Source organism: Homo sapiens, chromosome 3 (genome assembly GCF_000001405.40).
Source record: "Homo sapiens chromosome 3, GRCh38.p14 Primary Assembly".
Lineage (NCBI taxonomy): Eukaryota > Metazoa > Chordata > Mammalia > Primates > Hominidae > Homo > Homo sapiens.
Genome location: NC_000003.12, coordinates 9,412,601 through 9,434,034, shown reverse-complemented (window position 1 = coordinate 9,434,034; position 21,434 = coordinate 9,412,601). Strand labels below are relative to the sequence as shown.

The window sequence follows — 21,434 nt, the reverse complement described above, 5'->3', positions numbered from 1 at the left end:
ACATTTCAAGAAAGTCACAATGTATAAGAATGGATTACACTCCAGGAAGATCACTGTTCTGGAGAGAAACAAATGCATACTCACAGCATAAGGCAGTCCTCGACACCCATGCCTCTGAGTGGTCCCATAATTATGAGTGGAATACACGCTCTTCTCATTAACTGCTGGACTAGCCTCCACAGATTCAGGGCTGCACAAAGGCGAAAAGCAATGCATGATAGCATAACACCTAATCTTCCCTTAAACTAACACTTCATTTCCCATTCTAACCCCTCCTCTTTCCACAACCACTAGCCACTAGGATAAGAGAAAGAACTCGGTGAAACAATCTTATTAACATAACTAAGCCTATAAATAACAGTAGGAGTGTTATTAAATGTGGATTTGTGTGTAACATGAAGCCAGTACAGGCAGATGTCTGAAGGCAGGCACCTGAGATACAAGGTGTCCCTAATGACAAACACAAACGTACCAGCTGAGCGGGGAGTTTCCCCTAGAGAAGCCACTCTGGGCTGGTTTAGACTCAGAACTATTCTTCTTAATTGGATCTCTTAATACTTCCATGAAACCTCACATGACATTTGCAGTGAGTGAGATGATCAAAGTGCCTTCTGCACTGCCCCAGGGACCAGGCCCTCTTCCATTCACTACCAAGACAGGATACCCTGAAGAAAGTACAGGTAAAAACAATGGCATCTTATATTTATCATACCTCTCATCTTGATGAACCCCCAACACCTTTCAAATATTAGAGTAATAATTTCTCATCCACCAATGACATGCAAGCATATTAAGGACAAAATTATTTATCAGCTGCATGATAATACCATAGAACTTCAAAATAAAAACTAAACTGTAAAGTTATGTTAGTCTACTGACAAATAATAACAACAGTAATGGCTACCATTGTGAACTGCCCAATATTTGTTAGGTGCTTTAAATACATATTAATTCATTTAATTTCAGCAACCACTAAACATGGTATATACTCCATTTTTACAGAGTGGGAAGATGTGGTGGTGAGATTACATGACTTCCCCAAGGTTACACACTGACACAGCTAAGATTTGAAACAAAGTCTGTCTGACTCCAAAGTCTATGCTCTTTCCACTACAGAAATGAGAATGACATTCAGTCCTTTAAAGAAAATTATTTGAGACCTTTATTAACCAGGCTTAGTGAGAAGCTTGGTTTAGTATCTTTTTGTACCCTTTGTGAGTAGAAAATAAACTATTCAAGCGCAATGTATTATTGTAGAATTATACATGTATTCAAACTTAGAAAATTAATATAAGCCTTTACAATAAAAAGGCTTTGATGGCAAAGGATAAAAATCAGGTTTATGGGAAGAAAGAACTTCAACTCTGATTGTTACCTGGTTAGGTTTTAGGGAATACTGAAGGGTAATTCAAAAATATAAAGTTTGTATGGCTTTGCAGAATAGAATAGTAATTTGTAATTTATATTAATTAGAACACAGATTCACAAATTAGAAACTCCGATGATTGGTATAACTCTAACTTAGAGATTAATGGGTCTTTCAGGGAGTCAAATAATGCATATTGTTCGCTTGAAATAACAAGTCATTTTTTCCTGCTTAAAGATATACAATATATAGTACAGCAGGAATAAGTGTGCAGTTCAATGTGGTGCAATGTCAATTGAGAAGTGAGGGATCAAAGAAAATTCTGAGATATGTATCCAACTCACCCAGTTATATGCTCCAAAACTGTGAGAAAGGATCTTATTAATAACAGCAAAGGAAATTTCTAAGTGAAGAACTTTAGACAGAGGAAAGTATTCTCTGTTAGTGAGGTGCATGCATTTTATTACTTAAAAGTGTCTGCAAGATGGGAACGGGGGAGGGGTACATCAAGAATGCAGGTCAGTATTCTTGAGAAAAAGATGATCTGAACATGGCTCACTGAGAGGCAATCATCTCTGAGTATTAGGAAACAGGTGGGGTTTCCTAAATGAAACCAAAGGCAGACAAGCATTAATAAAATGAAGGTATAATTTAGTTTCTATGATGGACAGTTAAAAGAAAGTAATAAATTTATACAACATTGTTAATTTACTAGGTACATTACTAGATAAACAAGTATTCCAAAGAGCTGTACATATTTTATATAGGTTTTGTACCACTGAACACATGGAGTGAAACATGATAGCTGTTTATTAGGAATGGATTTTTTTTTGGTGGGAGGGGGACAGGAAAAAGGAAAGTTGCATGAAATCAAAGATGGCCATGGAGATGGAGCTATGCTGGTTGTATCTTACCCATCTCCAAACGGGTAAATATGAACATATGCACTTCATGTGCAAGTCTAGGGAATAAAAATAAAATGTATATTGTGGAGGTTAAAAGGCCATCACACTGCACAATACTTTCTAGTTAAGCACAGCATTTAATATATTGCTGTGCATGCCAAATATAAAATTTAAACTCATATCTTCTGATGAAGAAACTCTGCAATTTCCATATTGGTTACTGATTGAATACACAGTTAGACACTTACAGGTAACTACAAGATTTCCTAAAATATTCCTTGATATATATACTAGTTTTTATATTTTAAAATATGAATTAAAAGTTTGGAATAATGGAATTACATCTCTTTAGCAGCCAACCACTTTATGCAAATGTAATTACAGGCTTTCTTCTCCTATCACTGAATTGGACACATACACAGAAACCAGGCTCACAACAGATATACTCCATCAACAGTGTTCTAAGTACAACATGCAACCCAGCTGCTATCATGCCATTTCTTGGAAAATGCCTGAAATTCTGTTATGGTAGAGTTGGAAATTCAGAAAAATCTTTGTTTTGCTTGTTACATCTACAAATTTTCCTACAAACACACACAAAAATAAATGCGTATTGCATATAGTTGCCATCAGATTTAAAATTCTATGAAGTGAAGTCTACATCTAGTTGAGTATGCTGCACTTAATACCAGGTTTAATCTTAAAGTGCCCAGAACAGCGAAATAGGCATGATGAAACATTAATAAATATCATTAATAATTTAACAGAATGGTATGTAGCTAGTTACTGACATTCTTTCCCTTTGCAGAAATGCATAACTATGTAGCTAGTTATGACCACAGTATCACAAATCTGTCTGGAGATCATGAATGAAAATGTTTCAGGAAATCCTAGGATATGTTGGTGTTAACAGAGACAGCGCAGTCACATTTGTAGACCAGAAGTATTTTTATTTCTGGAATTAGTCCTAGACTCCCCAGCAGTATTTACGGGCAGTCATGTCTATACTTTGGGGAAAACACCAATTGTAAGATTAACTGCTCTGGGTCTTTTATCCAGCAATTCCAAACGTATTGGTTTAACCTCTTTGTTGAAATTTCTCACAAATGTTAATGCTATCTATCTATACAGTTAGACAATCTACATAGTACCAGGTTAGTAGCTGACTTTATAAAAACCTATAAACACAATACAAACTGGCTACCTACTAATGCAGGGAGAGTTTTAAGTACTTTATTTGGGGAAAGAGTTGTAAAATGGTTAAGTAAGTCTCAGTTACTGACATAACTAAATACCTTTTGCATGCAAACAAAACAAAACAAACAAAAACAAAAGAAGAAAAAAGCTCTAGAAGAAACAAAATCAACCCTTCCCCACCCCCAACCCTCCTTTCTCCTTTTTATATGGGAATAAGCCCAAACACTGCTTTTCATTTTAGACTACCCCAGAATATTATATACTATTTCTCAGGGTAGCTTTAAGTCTTCCTCTTTAAGGAACTCAGTAAACAGGTAAGTTATATTAGGTGGCTTTATGAAGAAATATACATGCTCTTTAATAATATTCTGTTTTAAGGAAGAAAACCACTTATTAATCAGGGATGTCATTCAACCCAGAAATCTGGTACAGTTGCTTTGCTTTGCTGAAGGGGGAAGAATCCCCAGGGACTGTGAAAATGGCAAGAGAAACAGGGGAATTAGAGCAACACCCACCTCACTCAAGAAGTGGCTGTGGGATCAAGAGTCTGAACTGGACCTGAACATATTCAAAACACCAGGATTTTTCCAGCCCAGACCCTAATCCCTGGTACTGCCTGGAATAGACTTGGCTTCTGGGGGTGTGCTGCCCCCTAGGCCCCTTGGGTCTCTTTCGCTGGACTTTCACATCCTGGTGTAGTGCCACTTCGTCTTGAAAGGTAGGGGGCTTCCACTTCCTTTCTGTAAGCAAGGAAGATTGGGTACAAGGGAGGTAAAAGGACAAGAGGGGGAATCTGTGAGCAGGGGGAATCTCGGACAACTTAAAAGAGAAGGGATACAAAAGACTAAAAATTTTAAAACTGTGAATAATATATATAAAGTTGTATAATGAAGGCCTACCTTCATTGTCATTTGGCATTTACATTCTTCAAGAATTGAGAGTATAATTTTAGGGATTGGGCCTTTGGACAAACTCTGAATTCCTAAAGCTGCTCTTAGCTGAAAAAAAAGTTTGGTACCACTGATTTTGAAGGTCCTCTTTCTAGGCAACGAATATTATAAAAAAACAGATGACGCTGTTCTCCATGTTTTCTACCCCAGATGTCAGAAGGTCTAGGCAACCTGCCCATATAGTTTCGGCCCCTTTACTCTAGAACAATGGGAAGTACATAGGAAGAGGACTTCAAGGAAAATCAGTTGGAAAGAACACCTTCTTATCTCCCTCCATCAGAATCATTAACTCTACAGAAGCAGGTAGTAACACCTACTTTATTCCAATTTTCTCCACCCATTAAAACAAATGAAAATGAATTCCTACTTTGCAACTTTGGTTCTATTAATTATTTGCCCAGAAATACCCCTCTGAAAACTCTTCCTTCCCCTTCTAATTCCTTTTTTCCACCACCTTCAATGGGGGTAAAGGGAAAGGTCTAATGTTAATTACAGTGGAATAGGATCTGGTTAAGAAAATACTACATATTATCCTATTAGCTATCCATAAGAAGGCTGTCTCCACACAGACTGATAATGTACCTACTACCTAGAAAGTAGCACTTACTCTGATCCAGCAGCCATATCTGAGTAGGATGTATCTGATGTGGTGACTCCCAGAGGGATTGCAATGCTCATGACGTCCAACACAGCAGAGATTGGAAATCACGGGGTCCAATTAATGGAGACTGACCACTCTGAGAGTGGGGGTGAGCTGCAGAGCCTCATCCAACATGTTATGGACATGAGGAATCCTGTAACAGAAAAGGAAAATATCTAGTAAAATAAATACCTAGTTATCAGATAGTTCTTCAAGTTTATCTTAAATGTTACTGAATATTTTTCTGCATTCTTGAATAAGGCTTTTAAGGGATAATTATAAAATAAATACAGCCACAGTGTCCCATGTTTACTATGCATTTCATTAATGTTTCACAAAGTAGGGGGCAAAAAGTTATGTTTACTTTTGTTTTTCTTTTCAGTTGAAGGGAAAGGAAGAGTCTGCCTATCTCACTAACCAACACATTCTCCCCATTCTAAAACTGCCCAAACAAAATTTTCTGGCAGCCTAGGATATAGCAAACAAGTTTTAAGATAAAGGATGGTTATTAAAAATATCCCAGTTTACCTAAACTCTTTAAAAATTCAAGATCTTCATTTAAGTTTTTTTCCTAGGCCACAAATAAATGCAGTTTCACAAGCAGTCAATAATGTTATTTCTTCCAAATTAAAAGAGATCAATTTGTTGTTTATACTTGATTGGAAACAGCTGTTTCTTAGTGCCTTCTTTTGTCATTGAACACTCTCTTCCTTCTTTTAAATCATCTTAACTATAATTTTGGGAGAAGATGCAATCATCTTAGCAACTTTATTTGTGGGGTAATAATACGCTGCTAGATATGAACAAAAATATAAACCAGGAGGAGGCTATGCATGCGTGGGTGCAGAGGGTGCATGGGAAATCTCTGTATCTCCTGATGAATTTTCCTGTGAACCTAAAACTGCTCTAAAAAAGTTGACTACTTTTTAAAAACAACAAAAAAACCCCCGAAATCACGAAGAGTACAGTTTCATGATAAAGACTAAACAACTGTGTATGAAAAAGCGGTGAGGATAGCTTGACATGGTGACCATAAACCAGTGAAAGCTGGGAACAGAAAGACTCAGAAATTACTGAAGTATAAAAAAATGCAAAAATAGATTAAGAGATTTGGAGGTATGGTGCAGAGGGAAACAAGTGTTCTTTGTGTGACTTTACATTAGTAGTTTTACAGTAGTGTAAAAAACATTGAAAGGATGAAACAAAAAGCATTTTATTTGGGGGGGAATAAAGTCAATGTGAATGTCAAAGACCCATGTTAACAAGGACTTTTGCAAAAAAGACTACAAAGAGAGTCATGACTGATACACTGATTCATAATAAGACATTAGAACAATTATTAATACTAAAAAAACTAAAGGAATGAAAAGTACATGATACCGACTGAGTCAACCCAGGGGGTTAATGTAAATTTTATTTTTATTTTTTGAGACAGTTTCACTTTTGTTGCCCAGACTGAAGTGTAATGGCGCAATCTTGGCTCACTACAACCTCCGCCTCCTGGCTTCAAGAGATTCTCCTGCCTCAGCTTCCCAAGTAGTTAGGATTACAGGCGCCTGCCACCATGTCTGGCTAATTTTTGTACTTTTAGTAGAGATGAAGTTTCACTATGTTGGCCAGGCGGTCTTGAACTCCTGACCTCCGGTGATCCACTCACACCTCAGCCTCTCAAAGTGCTAGGACTATAGGCGTGAGCCACCGTGCCTGGCCGGTTAATGTAAATTGTAAATGGTAGATGGTCTGAGATGCTCCAATCTTACTTTGATATTAATGCAAATAAAAAAAATTGTGGGCTGGGTGCAGTGGTTCACAACTGTAATACCAACACTTTAGGAGGCCAAGGTGGAAGGATCACTTGAGTCCAGGAATTTGAGACCAGCTGAGACAACATAGTGAGACCCCAACTCTACAAAAATAGTAAAAAAATATCAGCCAGCCATGGTGATGTGTGCCTGTGGTCCCAGCTACTTGGGAGCTGAGGTGGGAGGATCACCTGAGCACAGGAGGTAGAGGCTGAGGTGAGCCATAATCATGCACTGCACTCCAGCCTAGATGATGAAGTGAGACCTCTGGGTATGACAATACGCCTGTTCCTACACCCAATTGGAGGTGACATATAGCTGGGCTGGGAAATGACTGGGCCAGATGAAGTGGCTCATTCCTGTCATCCCAGCACTTTGGGAGGCTGAGGCAGGTGGATTGCTTGAGCTTGGGAGTTCGAGACCAGCCTGGGAAACATGGCGAGATCCTGTCTCTACTAAAAATACAAAATTTACCTGGTGTGCGCCAGGCGCGGTGGCTCACACCTGTAATCCCAGCATTTTGGGAGGCCAAGGTGGGTGGATCACTTGAGGTCAGGAATTCGAGACCAGCCTGGCCAATGTGGTGAAACCCCTTCTCTACTAAAAACACAAAAATTAGCTGTAGTGGCACACGCTGGTAATCCCAGCTACTCAGGAGGCTGAGGCAGGAGAATCTCTTGAACCCAGGAGGTGGAGGTTGCAGTGAGCCGAGATCACGCCACTGCACTCCAGCTTGGGCGACAGAGTGAGACTCCATCTCAAAAAAAAAAAATAAATCTGGTGTGGTGGCATGCACCTGTAGTCCCAGCTAACTCAAGAGGCTGAGGTGGGAGGATTGCTTGAGCCTGGGAGGTGGAGGTTGCAGTGAGCTGAGATCATGCCACTGCACTCAGCCTGGGCAACAAAGTGAGTCCCTGTTGCCAAAAAAAAAAAAAAAAAAAAAAAAAAAAAAAAAAAAAAAGGGACTGATGAACTTTTTTGCCTTTAGGCCAGTCTTACACATGTATGTTTCCTTTCCCTAACAGTATATCCAAACAGAGACCTTGGCAGTACATCTTCTAAGCCTTTGGGAAATTGAAGTAAAATCTGTAAATGATAAAACAAGAACACTCATCAAGTAAACCCAAAAGACAGTTAAATACTGGGGGCTGTTGGTCACTACTCTTTCTATTAGTCTTACTGTATAATTCAGATTAAAAGAAAAGCCCCAAAGCTGTCTGACCAGATAATCATATGAAAGTCTGATTATCACCGTACCTCCCCTGATCAGCAAAGGGAATCTGAATTGTTTTATATTTTCAGTAAAAGACTTAAACCAAAAACCGTACTTAATATCATTAAAAACCCTTTGTTGTAGCCATTACGACTGTACACCCATTTAAAAAATGCATGGTTTCACGGTGAAACCCTATCTCTACTAAAAATACAAAAATTAGCTGGGCATGTTGGCATATGCCTGTGATCCCAGCTACTTGGGAGGCTGAGGCACGAGAATCGTTTGAATCTGGGAAGCAGAGACTGCAGTGAGCTGAGACAGGGCCACTGCACTCCAGCCTGAGCAAAAGTGAAACTCTTTCTCCAAAAAAAAAAAAAAAAAAAGTACAGTTTCTAGATAAAAGACAAGTTATAAACCCAAGATGATAGTTGATATTTTTCCTAGAGCAATTTTTAAAAGATATACTAAAAGGAAAAGATGGAAAAGTTACTTCAGATAACATCTTAATGAGTGAATAAATGATTGCTACATTCACTAATGAAACACCAACCCAGCTATTTTGGATAGTTGATGAATCCTTAAGAAACATTAAGTCAGCCCGGTGCAGTGGCTCACGCTTGTAATTCCAACACTTTGGGAGGCTGAGGTGGGCGGATCACCTGAGGTCAGGAGTTTAAGACCAGCCTGGCTAACACGGTGAAACCCTGTCTCTACTAAAAATACAAAAAAATTAGCCGGGCACGATGGCGGACGCCTGTAATCCCAGCTACTTGGGAGGCTGAGGCAAGAGAATCGCTTGAACCCGGGAGCCGGAGGTTGCAGTGAGTCAAGACTGTACCATTGCACTTCAACATGGACAACAAGAATGATACTCTGTCTCAAAAAAAAAAAAAAAAAAAAAAAGAAACATTGTCGGTAACTATAAATTTCTATTTCATAAAAATTATTCCATTTTCCTTGTGTCTAGTTTAACATGACTGTTTCATTCTTCTGATGAAAGCAACCATAATAGGTTAGCTTGACCATCTCATTCTAACTAATGCTTTAATAATGATGAGGCTTCTTAATTCAAATTCTGTTAATAATCCCAAATTTCTCAAATATTACCCTAAGAATAGTTCCTTCCCTAAGTAACTCTGTAAAATGTAGCTATTAAAATGTTAACCGAGGAACATTTAACAGATCATCTAAATGCAGTATTTTCTTATTATAATTTGTTTGTTTTTTCCTACCAGAATATAAACTCTATGAGAACAGGGATTTTTATCCACTGCTGTAGTTTCAATGGCCAAAACAATAACTGACACGTAGAGAAGTTCCAGAAATATCTGCTAAGTAAATTATAATCACAATTTACTACAACATGATTCCAGCAGTCATTAAAATGCAAAAAATAAAACAGAAATTAAAAGGATTTACTTGGGTCAGTCACCTTTATATAGACTTCTGAATATGAAGTCCCCCCAAATTATCTGCTAGTAGTTCTGAAGACCTAGAAAAAGTTGAGACAAAAATTAGTACAGAAAGAAATAACATTGATGAACACACAGAATGGAATTCTACAGCTATATTATGTTTCTGTATACTGTCTTGTTTATCATCCTACATCTATACTATCTCGTTTACCACCCTACGTCCATCCGGCACTGAATTTTTTGCCCTTTAATTTTTTATTTTTCCATAAAGCCAGAAACGAGATGGTAGAGAAGGAAATTATTTGACTTAAATGGTAAATACTTATGTCACTGGCTAATTTTTCCTCTTCCTTCAAATTAGAATTATCTCATTTTCCAAGGGATCCCTTCTTTTTCTCTCTCCTAAAAGGTGCTTCCCTTCTTCACTGAACACTTCTCAAATTCAGAGTTCTTTCTTTAACCCGATGTCCGACAACTGTCCAGCCAGACAAGGGGCCATCATCACCCATTAAATTACAAGTCCATATTTATTACTCCTTTCTTTCCCTTCATTCCACACCATCTAGTTTCTTGTCCTACTATAAAAAAGAGTGATAAAAAGGAGTCAGTTCTATTTGCGGTCAAATGGAAACATGCTTAAAAAATGGCGCTTAAATTAATTTTCTACCTTCCAAAAAGGAAGGGAAAATGATCAGTATCCTTTAAGTCTCTGGTGTTTTTTCCTAAAAGTCAAATTTAACGCTAGCCAGAGTTATTAACACCTTAAAGATTAACATATCATAAACATGAAAAGAGCTATTCATAGGATTCCAGTTACCAAGCATTAGAACGCATGCATTTCATTTATGTTGATGTTTTATGATTTCTAATTTTAAAAAACTGGAAAATAAACTATTTTTTAGAAACGATTTAAAATAGTACACCCAGAATTAGAGAAATAAAAGTATCAAAGTAACAGTAAAAGGAAGGAAGAAATAAAGTAAATCAAGGAAGAAGCAATAGCAAATAAGAAAGAAAAAAAGGAAAGGAGGAAAACAGCGAAATAGATGTGAGTGTACAGTAGGGGGTAAATGAATGCATCACAGTTTCAATTTATTATTAATTTAACTATTTCCAGAACAATCCATCAGAATCCACAGGAACACTAGTAAGTTCTTGGATTCAGAAACAGACACAGCCTGTATCTTCCAGTAGTACCGAGTACTCTCTTTAGGAGGTGCCATTTACATACAGTTTCTAGGGAAAAGGATGTTAAATAGAACATGCCAGAAATGTTTCTTAATTACCCCATCTTTTTAATTGGTTTCAGAAATGGCCAACAGTCTCTGTATCATCATTCTGACAGTCTCTTCTCTATATGACTTGCTGAAAGCACAAGACCTGTATGATCTCCCTGGTCACTCACAGAGAAGACAAACAAAAAGTGTTTTATGAACAATTCCAACAGATTTCAGAAGAAGAAATTGCATCAGACAGGTGAGGCGGAAGCAGCTGGCAGACAAAAGTCCAATAAACAACCAATCCAACGAAAGAAATTCAGAACAAGTCTGCTTCAGTAATCCTGTGAAGAGGACTGGCAGGAAGAGGAGTGCCGCTTCAGAAAGAGAACAGGCCTCATATGCTTCAGACAGTCTTTGTATTGAGGCTGTGGACCTTGGCCATTCTCCCAGAAATGATGCAATCCTGATGAACAAGATCTGCTGCCAGAGAAACAATTGTTAACAGCCTATGCAGACAGCAACTCAGCCAAGGAGCAATCTCTGATCAACTCTCTCCATAAACCAACAGAACGCCAAAATCTCTCTTCCTCAATTTCAGTGTCTGACAAAACATAAAGTGAACACAGTATATATTAAGATACATAAGAACAAGCCATTTTCTCAAAGGGTCCTTTTTCTTTTAATTCCTTAGGCTGTACAATATCCATTATTAAATTTCAGATAAAATACTGAACATTTTTTACTTTTATAAATACAATTATCCAAGCACATCAATAGTAATAACATAAATATGAAAATTTATACTTATTTTCCTCATTCTCATAAGAAAACCTTTTTGGGAGGCAGTGGCTTCCCTAAGCATAAAAACTGCTCTGAAATCTATCATCCAGCTATAACATTTCAAGTAAACACAAATATACATACACTCTAATTCAGAGACAGAAAGTATATTTCATAGATATTTTTGAAAGTAGATAAAAGTCAATGTTAAATATTGGCATCTATCAGAGAAAAGAGAAAATCTAATCTTGCTTAGGCTGACATATAAGGTATGCTGATAACAACCACTTTTTTGCAGGGCAACAATATTACTTCAGATCTTACTAAAGGATCAGATTATTTTCATCTTATTAGCCACGATTTACTAATTTAGAATCTAACTTAAAAATATCCTCAATTTAATAATCTTCCCTAGAATCCTCATCTCCTAGGCCTGGTTTCTTTTTCAGAAGTTTTGGTATCAGGTTTTTCACACAGTATTATAAAATTATAAAAAGTTATTTTTTTCTCACTAAATAAAAGATCCTGTATAAAGCACTTCTCTAAACTTCAACTAGCCAAAAGTCATGACTAACCAAATTTCTTCCTTTTGAAAGCAATAACCCTTAAACTGGGATTCATGAAAAAACACAAATATCTAAGATATATCCTGAAATAAATCTATTCAGCCCAATCTATTACTTCTATATACTACTAAATAACGAAAATGAACAGATATACAGAATAGCTCTGAAGCACTAAAAAAATCTTTAATAGGTCAATAAATGAATAAATTTAACTCAGGAAGAGAAAACACTTTTTGGGAATATTTCAAAAGGGTTAAAGTAGCTAATAAGTTTTTAAAAATCCAATTTCTGAACTTGATTATTCAAAATTTTGTTGTTACATATAGGCTGAATTTCTTCTTAAATACATCTATAGTTCTTCGATTTATCTTTTGAATGACTTTACCTTGTATGAGAATGAATGTGGCAGCTGCATTATATACTTATCTTCATCTCCATCTCAAAGTCAAATATCTCAAGTAAAATCACCGTAGCTGTACCATGACAAACAGCCTTTTACCTTAGGAGAAGAAAAGTATGCTAGGAAAAAGCACTCTTAGAGGCCAGGTGCGGTGGCTTGCACCTGTAATCCTAGCACTTTGGGAGGCTGAGGCAGGAGGATTGCTTGAGCCCAGGAGTTTAAGACCAGCCTGGGCAACATAGTGAGACCCATCTCCTAAAAAAATAAAAAAAGAAAAGAAAAAAAAGGCACTATATTAGGAGTTAGGAGACTTGAGTTCTAGCCTACAACATAATTAGTGACCTCAGAAAAATCACTTTACATAGATGAACCCTAAATTCCTCAAAGTAAAATCTTCATTGTGTTGTCTTCCTGCTCCAAATTTCTATGAATCCTGGCACTGCTGCCAACTAGCTCAGGCAATTCATAGAATGTCTCAAAGTCTCAGTTTTCTCATCTGTACAATAAAAAAAAAAAAAATACCTGTTGTGCTGACTCATAGGAGCACATGGAACAGCATTTGTAGCAAGTAAGAGCTTAAATAACTTTCTGGTCCCTTTAAGTATATGTGAAGAAAGAGGAGCTGCTGCTAATAACCTGAATATGGCTAAACACTGTTTTTACTCTTCTCCAAAAGCATATATTTCAAGTTTGCTACAGCAGATAATGTGGAAAGAAAAAATGTGAGAAACATGAAAAAAAAAAATGAGAGAGAAGTGTTAAGCATAAGAAGAAACAAATATGAGTTACTGGAAAACAAAGAGATGAACTCTAAAAGAGCACTTGGAGATACAGTGAAAAGTTCATGTATTTGGAACAGTAAAATTAGGCTTATAATCTGAAGCAAGTTAATGCAAGCAAAGAATTTTAGGGGTTCGGGACTGAAAGGAAAAAAGAAAAGAGAGAAACACTGATTGGGGTAAGCACTGAGAGACAGGAAACATCATGATTTAGTAATTTAAAGCAAAAATAAAAATTTCCTTTTCTCCCATCTCTTCTACAATACCAGTTTATTCCTTGATTCCTTTGCCTAAATTTATACTCCCTCTAGGAGCTACTGAGCTCGGCACAATAAACCGATGTCTATAAGAAATCTAAGTTTACTAGAATAAAAGGCCATTAAAAGACAACTGAAAAAAAATCCTAGTCTATATTAAGAATTTCCTTCTCCGTAAAAAACTTCATAATTAGTGCGTATTATAGAGACCAAGTCATACTTAGTAGTATGTGGAGCAGAAGAGGGGAGTGGCAGTAGGATAAGACTACATATCATAAATAACAGAATTATTATTATTATTATCTAAATATTGTGATCATAAATTATTTTAACACTGAAGAAAAATATTTTATTTACAACCCATTTAACAATGATAAAAAGGTATTTACTGCTCAACTAACCAACAATACACAGACTCTTTGTAACCTTAACAACAATCAGGAAGATTTTAGACTTCTAAGTACCAAATAAAGATGATGCCCTCAAATAATTTAGACTGACTAAACCTCTTTAAAGAGTTATACTCTCAACACTTTCTGAAGGTTCTGTTCTACTGTGTTCTGAGGCTCAGAACATGTGTTAGAGACCAATGTACCAAAGTAGAGTAGGAAAAGAACTTCTCATATCTCTACACGTGCCTCCTCTCTGTGAATTCAGATCTTCTTCATTTTCAAACCCCAAAATGGGAGCCACTTTTACTTACTATAGATGAAGTGGGTTGTGCACATTTATGAGCCATTAATATCTGTATTTTTACTTTCATTAATTTAAGCAAAATTTCTCCAACCGATGAACAAACAGAAATGAAGAAATAGAGCTACAAAAAGATTAACTTGTATGAAGTTCACTACACACCTACAGTAGTAAAGTTCAGAGGAAAGAAAATTAAGATGTTAATATATAGCTTGTTTATTATAGTAATTACTACTTACCTTAGATAGCAACATCTGAGTTATAACTAATTGTTTTTATTTTTATTTTTGAGACAGGGTCTGTCACTCAGGTTGGAGTGCTTTGGTGCAATCACAGCTCACCGCAACCTCAACCTCCTGGGCTCAAGCGATCCTCTCACCTTAGCCTCCCAAGTAGCTGGGACCACAGACGCATACTGCCATGCCCAGCCTTGTTTTTATTAAGTACCAATTGGTGCTATGTAAGACAATTAGGTCCAGATAAAATTCCTGGCTGTCTTGGGATTTATATTATGTAGATTTGCTACTTTTTTCATTCATTCATTCAACAAACATGAAGTAACTACTATTAATATACATATATTACTATGTTAAGTGCTATTTTAAGAGGTTTATTTTATCCAAAGTAGAAAAGGGTAGGCAACTTGCAAACTGTTCAGGTTTGCCTATGTGCCAAGTACTGCATTTATACAACCATGAAGGGGGAGAAAAATCCTGTAAGTGGGCCGGGTGTGGTGGCTCATGCCTGCAATCCCAGCACTTTGGGAGGCCAAGGCGGGTGGATCACCTGAGGTCAGGAGTTTGAGACCAGCCTGGCCAAGATGATGAAACCCCGTCTCTACTAAAAATACAAAAATCAGCCAGGCATAGTGGTGGACACCTGTAATCCCAGCTACTTGGGAGGCTGAGGCAGGAGAATCGCTTGAATCCAGGAGGTGGAGGTTGCAGTGAGCCAAGATTACACCACTGCGCTCTAGAAACCCTAAAATGAAAGTTATCTGCAAATTCCCAATGTTTATGTATGTGATTCACATTTTTTTTTTTTTGAGACGGAGTTTCGCTCTTGTTGCTCAGGCTGGAGTGCAATGGCAGGATCTCAGCTCACTGCAACCTCCACCTCCCGGGTTCAAGCAATTCTCTTGTCTCAGCCTCCTGAGTAGCTGGGATTATAGGTGCCCACCACCACACCCAGCTGATTATTGTATTTTTAGTAGAGACGGGGTTTCACCATGTTGGCCAGGGTGGTCTTGAACTCCTGGGCTCAGGTGATCTGCCTGCTTCAGCCTATGTGATTCACTTTTAAGACTACTACTGACTGGATGTCCTGTAAAGTTCTTACACACTAAATATTAGATCTTAGTTGCATTTCTACAAATTTGGGCTAGGAGCTTCAAAATAAACCCTAGCTGAAGCAATATTCAGAACCAAAGTACTTTCTTATAGTTGTCCTTTGACATAACCTTTAATTCTTTTAATAGACCGCACTAAGCTCTAAATTTCTTCTTTCTGTAATGAAAAAAACTTATGCTAGCCATCTGTAATCTAGCTGGCATCTGTAGAGGTCTGACTGCAAATGCAAATAAACTAGAAGATTTGAGTGCTTCGTTTCAAACAAATTATCAAAACTCTGTTCTAGCACTTTGGGAAGCCGAGGCGGGAGGATCACAAGGTCAGGAGATCGAGACCATCGTGGCTAACACGGTGAAACTCCGTCTCTACTAAAAATACAAAAAAAAAAAAAATTAGCCGGGAGCGGTGGCAGGCGCCTGTAGTCCCAGCTATTCGGGAGGCTGAGGCAGGAGAATGGCGTGAACCCGGGAGGCGGAGCCTGCAGTGAGCCGAGATCGCGCCACTGCACTCCAGCCTGTGCGACAGAGCAAGACTCCGTCTCAAAAAAAAAAAAAAAACAAAACTCTTGTTCTAGCAGTTCTGCCTCAGAAGTTTAAAATATGATGCTTCATTTTTAATCACCTTTGGAAAGAAACCTAGACACTGTAAGAGACTTATTTTAGAATATGTGGGGAAAAAAATAAAGAATAAAATAATTAAAAAAAAAAAAAGACTTGGCCAGGCGCAGTGGATCCCGCCTATAATCCCAGCACTTTGGGAGGCCGAGGCGGGCGGATCACGAGGTCAGGAGATCGAGACCATCCTGGCTAACATGGTGAAACCCCGTCTCTACTAAAAATACGAAAAATTAGCTGGGCATGGTGGTGGGCGCCTGTAGTCTCAGCTACTTGGGAGGCTGAGGCAGGAGAATGGCGTGAACCCGGGAGGCGGAGCTCGCAGTGAGTGGAGATCACGCCACTGCACTCCAGCCTGGGCGATAGAGCGAGACTCCGTCTCGGGGGGAAAAAAAAAAAAAAGACTTATCTATACTGATTTACTAAAAGACAGGAGACAAAATATGGACTTCACTTTCATCATAGGAACAAAATCACTTGGTATACTCCATTATGACACCCACATGGTCCAAATCCATGCCCTGGCCAAATGAGGGAAAAAACCCTCTTTTTTGTTGTGCTGGCACTAGCACCTGACTGAAGAGCTATTCTCCTTTGAAATTTTTGGAGACTTTTAGCAAACCACATCAGTCGCCTCCCTATGATTTCAAGGTAGCATTATATAATAGCAGTGAACTGGTCTCACTACCTCTGGGGTGTGAACCCTCCAATCTACTCTATATTCTTCCATGATGTTATCCCTTCTAGAGCATAACTTTGGTTACTATCATTGCATTATCTGAAATCTACAAATAATGGTTTCCTTAATGCTTATTGGGCTAGTCCAAACTCCTGTGCCTGAATGGAACAAGAACATTTTTGTTAATTAGCTACTAACCTGTTTCCTTCTCCTTCAAAACTTTGTTTACACTATTCATGCTTTTATTTTTTATCTTAAAAAAAAAAAACTTTATGGTGAAAAACTTCAAATAAATATAAAACCAGAGAAAACCCAATGTTCCCTACCCAGCTTTAATCAACAATCAATTCATGGCCAATCTTATTTTATCTATAACCTCTCTTCCTTCCAGGATTAGTCTACAGCAAAATCCCCAAAATACCAGTTGTGTCTATGACATCTGGTGGGTGGAGCTATCCCTTGTTTATCCTTATAATGGGTATAAGGATACATAAGAGGGGCATGTTTATCATAATGATAGGTCATGGTGATAAGAAATCAAAGGTCATAATTCTTTAGCAAAAGTTCCAATGAACAAGAAGCTTATGCAATTCAACAATTGCTAGATTTGCTGAGTAATGCTTAGGTTTTACAATTATACACTTGTGGTTATTAAAAAAAGTCTTAATCATTGAAATATTTTAAGAAAAAAATCACTGTAAACTATTTTTATGACACGAGTTTGTTGATAAATTTCTTGCATTCTTGGGAGCAAGAGCTAACTGCAAGTACATACATGACCCACAGCTGCGACACAGCATTCCTATATTTGCTATATGCCAATATACAAAAATGAATGACACAGGAGAAACACCCCAAAGCAGGCAGACAGTGAGTGTGATATTCCATAAATCTGTGTACTAAAGATAAGGACTGATTATATCACAAAAGTGACGGCTCACATTTGAGGTAGATGGCCAGCTGTTCTTATTTTTAGTGAGCAATCTCTTAGAGTACTTGGAGTCTTAGAGTGCTGACAGAAGACTGAGGGCAAAAAGGCTCACCCACTCTGAGGCACACCTTCCAATGGAAAAATGAGTCAATAATAACACTGAGTGTCACAAACCAAAAATATTTTGGATGCACGTGGAAGATTCCTATTTGAACCACAAAAAAATTACAAAGAAAGTAGCCAGGCATGGTGGTGCACACCTATAGTCCCAGCTACTCAGGAGGCTGAGGTGGGAGGATGGCTTGAGCTCGGTGGGTGGCTTGCAGTGAACTGAGATTGCGCTGCTGCACTCCAGCCTGGGCAACAGAACCAGAGCCTGTCTTTAAAAAAAAAAAAAAGTTCAACAGCAATGGGGCTGGGCAGGGTGGCTCACACCTGTATCCTAGCGCTTTGGGAGGCTGACTTAGGAGAATCACTTGAGGCCAGGAGTTTTGAGGCCACCCTGGGCAACACAATAAGACAGCCAGGAGTGGTGGTGCATACCTGTAGTCCAAGCTATTTAAGAGGCTGAGGTGGGAGGATCCCGATCCCTTGAGCCTAATTAAGAGTTGAGACTGCAGTGAGCTATGACTGTGCCACTGCACTCCAGCCTGGGTGACAAGGAGATCCTGTCTCTAAAATTAAAAAAATAATAATAATAAAATAACAGCAATGGAAGACAACGACCAACTCAAACAAACACTAATATATGTCTAGTAGGTTACTGAGCAAAATAAAATCTTTGAAATGGTAAGCACATTTGTCTTCCTAGAAGCCCATGGGGCCAAATGTCTTTGGATCAGCTAGCTAGTGGCTTGTTATGAGATCCAGGACCTTCAACAGTTCCTGTCATCTAAAGCATTAAAAATATTTAACTTATATATTACAAAAACTTTCTCTGGAAATCTTAATATGAAAAATGATTTTAAAGCCTTGACACATATGCTCATCTTTGATCCAGTTTCAATGAACATTTCAACTGTATTTGGGCCAAAATGCTCATGTCATTAATTAACTTATAATAAATTAGTCCCAGGAAACTGATAAAATAGTACTTTTTAGTTAGGAATACAACTGGTATAAACTGCTTTCTTATACAAAATATAATTAAAACCATATACCATATTTAAACTTTCCCATTTATGTTACTGTCTCTTTTAATCATCTGTTAGTTTTCCTGTCATATCAGAGTTTGACCCCAAACAAAGTCCAGAATTCTAGCACTAAACAGAGTGAAGCAAAACACAGACTATCTCAGATTTCCATAAATTTGCTATTTTCCTTTTCATTAAAATGTCTATTTATAAACTTATTTTTTCCTGAGTAAAATAGTTCCAAATCCTGAACATTACTGTTTTTGAATACTGTATTTCCTTTTCCAATACTCAGTAACCAATAACAAAAAAATTAAAAAAAAAAAATCCATGCTCCAGATTTTTAACAAATCCATTGAAGACCTCCATTAATAACTTAAAAGCAGTGGTTCTCAATCTTTTGGAGAAAAACACTTGTTTTTTCTTCTAAGTTTAAAAATTTTCCATCTGTTGATGAGGAGAATACAGTAAAAAAATACACTACGGAGAACTAGTAATTCTTCTGCACAATATCCTTCCATTTTATGTCCTTAAGGACCATTACCTATTTAGCCAAGACAGGACTAAACAATGTATATCCTGGTAAATACATGGAATGATACTACTAGGTGGGAAAAAGGGAAACCAAGATCCCTGCTCTAGAAAGGCCCTTTCACCTGTTGTGCCAAGCAGCAAACTATCATTAAGTTGCCTTGTAGAAGCAATGATAGCCTCATACTCATCCCCGAATTCTTAACAACAACAACACACACACACACTCCCCAAAAAACACACACGACCAATGGCTCTTCAATGAATTAAGAATTTCTTAAGAATTTACTGAGATTCAAGACTGCTTTTCACATTTTGAATTCCAACTCTTCCTACATCTGAATATGAAAGTAAAAAGGAAATCTAGTAGGAATCCATTTGTTCTAGTACCAATATTCAAAAACATCCTAGGCATAACTACTTTGTGACTGTTTTTCTAGAATATTTCAGACTTAATACTTAGCTATTATTTGAGCACATATACTCATTCCTCAGAAAACTGCAGAGACAAAATTTGACGTAAAACTTCTAGGTCTTGGCCAGGAGCCGTGGCTCACACCTGTAATTCCAGCACTTTGGGAGGCCAAGGTGGCAGATCACGAGGTCAAGAGTTGGAAACCATCCTGGCCAAAATGGTGAAACCCCATCTCTACTAAAAATACAAAAATTAGCTGGGCGTGGTGGCGCGCGCCTGCAGTCCCAGCTACTTGGGAGGCTGAGGTAGGAAAATTGCTTGAACCCGGGAGGCAGAGGTTGCAGTGAGAAGAGATCACACCATTGCACTCCAGCCTGGGTGACAGAGCCAGACTCCGTCTCAAAAACAAAACAAAACAAAACAAAAACAAACAAAAAATGAAACTTCTAGGTCTCTGCTGTATACTCTTTGCTGGAAGAGGCCAATTAACTTAAAAAAATAAATAAATAATACACACACACACACACACACACACACACACACACACCCCGCCTCCCCCCACCCGAAGAAGCTAGAATTTACAAATTACTCCCATAAGGGATAACATCTGAAAAACATTCATCCTCTTCCTTCATCCGTGTTCCAGATCCAGAAGGCCCATGGCAATTCTAGGCAAAGAATCCTAGAGAAAAAAGATCAAAACTACAGATGGGCAGCAATAAAGTCAGGGGGAGAGAGAAGGGCAGATTTTATCAGTAGAGGTGGAAGTCTCCTTAAATATGGTCTGATATTTATAAGATACCTTTTCAGAAATTCAACCATATCATAAAATGTTACCTATTGCACACTGAACACACTATTACATTAATTAATCCATTTGCTTCCTCAATCTTCTCTTCAGGAATGCTCTCCAGAATCTGTATAGACTTCTTTATAATATTAAAATTTCCCTCTTAGTATAAACTCATTATATATGTAGGCTACTCTATTTTTTCTGTTGATTGGAAATAGCAGGCGATGATCAGGAGAGGAAATGGGCTCAGAGGGCAAGCAGTATCAACAGGGAAAGACTGAAACATCTGATTATGTTCACTAGTCTACTTTACCAGGATCCATGATAGCCAAGTCTATGAATACTTTTATTTTAAAATTTAAAACTTTCTATTATGGGCTGGGCATGGTGGTTCATGCCTGTAATCCCAAAGCTCTGGGAGGCTGAGGCATGAGAATCTCTTGAGGCCAGGAGTTCAAGGCCAGCTGGGCAACATAGCAAGACCTTGTTTCAAATAAAGTATGAAAGTAAAATGGTATAAAGAAGTCCATTTATTCATTATCTAGTATCGACAATGACCAACTAATAAGTTGATTGTTTCATCTATTATCTCCTCTCTATCTAAAGCAAACCCCAGATAACATTTCATTTCATCCATAAATATTTCAGCATGTATCTCCAAAAGATAAAGACTTGTTTAAAAAACAAAATGTGGGCTGGGCCTGATGGCTTATGCCTGTAAACCCAGAGCTTTGGGAGGCTGAGGTATGAGACCACTTGAGGCCAGGAGTTCAATCAAGACCAGCCTGGGCAACACAGTGAGA

General features: G+C 37.8%; 1 protein-coding gene across 50 annotated transcripts in view; it reads right to left on the bottom strand.

Moving 5' to 3' along the window:
* Positions 1–21,434, bottom strand: part of SETD5 (SET domain containing 5) — an 80,540-nt gene that overhangs the window by 44,120 nt on the left and 14,986 nt on the right. For 13 of the 50 annotated variants that reach the window (XM_047448466.1, XM_047448477.1, XM_047448483.1 and 10 more), the window contains exons 2-4: positions 9,509–9,568; positions 473–5,212; positions 85–190 (exon numbers count right to left, since the gene is read on the bottom strand). In XM_047448466.1, the coding sequence (XP_047304422.1) occupies positions 85–190; positions 473–564 (198 nt within the window). In that variant the 5' untranslated portion in view covers positions 565–5,212; positions 9,509–9,568. Of the gene's footprint in view, positions 1–84; positions 5,213–9,495; positions 11,313–21,434 lie in introns of those variants that run through there. The other 37 variants (XM_011533922.2, XM_005265301.2, XM_011533928.2 and 34 more) reach the window with 15 other exon arrangements.